The sequence below is a fragment of the Homo sapiens genome, chromosome Y, assembly GCF_000001405.40.
Source record: "Homo sapiens chromosome Y, GRCh38.p14 Primary Assembly".
In the NCBI taxonomy this organism is placed as follows: domain Eukaryota; kingdom Metazoa; phylum Chordata; class Mammalia; order Primates; family Hominidae; genus Homo; species Homo sapiens.
Window position 1 is genome coordinate 3,296,495 of NC_000024.10, and position 2,068 is coordinate 3,298,562.

Sequence of the window (2,068 nt, forward strand, 5' to 3'; positions counted from 1 at the left end):
ATTTTCAATTTCCTGTAAAGTAAAATTTATATCCCTCCCATGACCTTGTTAAATAAATTTATGAACAGTACTGCACTAAATCTAGAACTTATTTCCACCTAGGTTAAAACAAATGTAAATTGTGTACCTTATTTTGAATATCATGAATGTGATATAAATTTACACTTCAGGAAGCAATATCATTGGAATTATGTCGATTATAACTCATTTTAACAAGACAAAGAAACCTGCATACAATCACTTGAGTATTATTTTTTTAGGACTACACTTATATTCTTCTCACAAAAGGTCTATAAAATATGGTATTTAAAACTATTTGTAACAAAATGTTTTGAAAATTAGAAACTTCTCTTTAACACGTATGGATATTTACTTGAATTATCATTTCCTAAAATCAAGAGCTCTCTGCCTACCTGTAAATCTGTTCAACATCATTAAACTTCTGTTTGTATTATTATTTTTGTTTACCTATAGCTTAGTTTTTTTTTTTTTACCTAGTTTATCTTTATAAGAATGACATCAGTGTGCATGCTTTTATATTATTCAGAACATGGTATGTTTGCATGAATGTAAAAAAATGAAATAGTTTACTGTAAAAAAATAAATAAATAAAAAGAGGAGAGGAGACAGAGCAAGATGGCCAAATAAAAGCCTCTGCCAATTATCCTCTTCTCTGGAAGAGTAAATTTAACAGCTAATTACATACACACAAAAAGCACCTTCATAAGAACCAACAAATTGGGTGAGCAATCCATACCTAGTTTTAACTTCATATCATTGAAAAAGGCATTGATGAGGGTAGGAAAGACCGTCTTAAATTTCTGACACCAACCCTGTTTCATCACCCTGTCAGTAGCTGGCAGTGTAGCATGGAGAAAGAATCTGTGCACTTGGGGGAGGGACAGCACAGCAATTGTGGGACTTTGCACTTCAACACAGTACTGTCAACACCAAGCAGAGCTCAGCTGGTGCTCATGGAAGGAGCATTTAGGCCAGCCCTAGCCAGAGGGGAATTGCTTATCCCGGTAGGTGGTCGGAGCTTGAGTTTCAACAAGCATTGGCACCTTGGGTCAAACTTCAAAGGCAGTCTAGGCCATGAGGACTGCAACTCCTAGTCAAGCCCTAGTGCTATACTGGGCTTGGAGCCAGTGGACTTGGAGGGCACATGACCCAGTAAGATACAAATCCAGATGGCTAAGAAAGTGTTTGTGTCACCCCTCCCCCAACTCTGAGCAGCACACCTCCCAGCTCTTAAGGAGACCCCTTCCTTCCACTTGAGGAGAGGAGAGGGAAGAGTAGAAAGGACTTTATCTTGCAATGTGTATGTCAGCACAACCACAGTAGGATAGGGCACTGGGCAGCGTCATGAGGCCCCCATTTCAAGCTATAGCTCCAAGATGACATTTCTAGACCCACCCTGGGCCAGAAGGAAACCCACTTCCTTGAAGAGAAGGACCCAGTCCTGGCAGGATTCATCAGCAGCTCACTAAAGAGTCTTGGGCCCTGAGTAATCAGCAGTGATACTTAGCTAGTATGTCATGGGCGTTGGATGAGACTCTCAAATATGCTGGCTTCGGGTGTGACCCACAATATTCATAGCTGTAGTGTCTATAAGGAGAGACCCCTTCTGCTTGAGAAAAGCAGAGAGAAGATTAATGAGTACTTTCTCTTCAGCTCAATTACAGGCCTCCACTCTTACATGGAATCTCTGGATCTACCCTGGGCCAGAGGGGAGAACACTGCCCTGAAGGGTGAGTTCCAGGCCTGGAATCATTCACCAGAATTGAATGAAGTGGCAATGGGTGTTAAGTGAACTGAACACACATTGAAAAGCCATTGAGTATTAAGTGAACATCAGCAGTACCTTGGCTGTACTCCCTGTAGGCCTGTGGTGGTGGTGGACCTGAGAAGAGACTCCTCTGCCTGGAGAAAGGGAAGGAAATAGTAGAAAGCACTTTGTCTGGTGGCTTCAGTTTCAGCTCATCTGCAATAGAATACAGTACCAGGTAAATTTTTTTATTATCATTGTTATACTTTAAATTCTAGGGTACATGTGCACAAGGTGCAG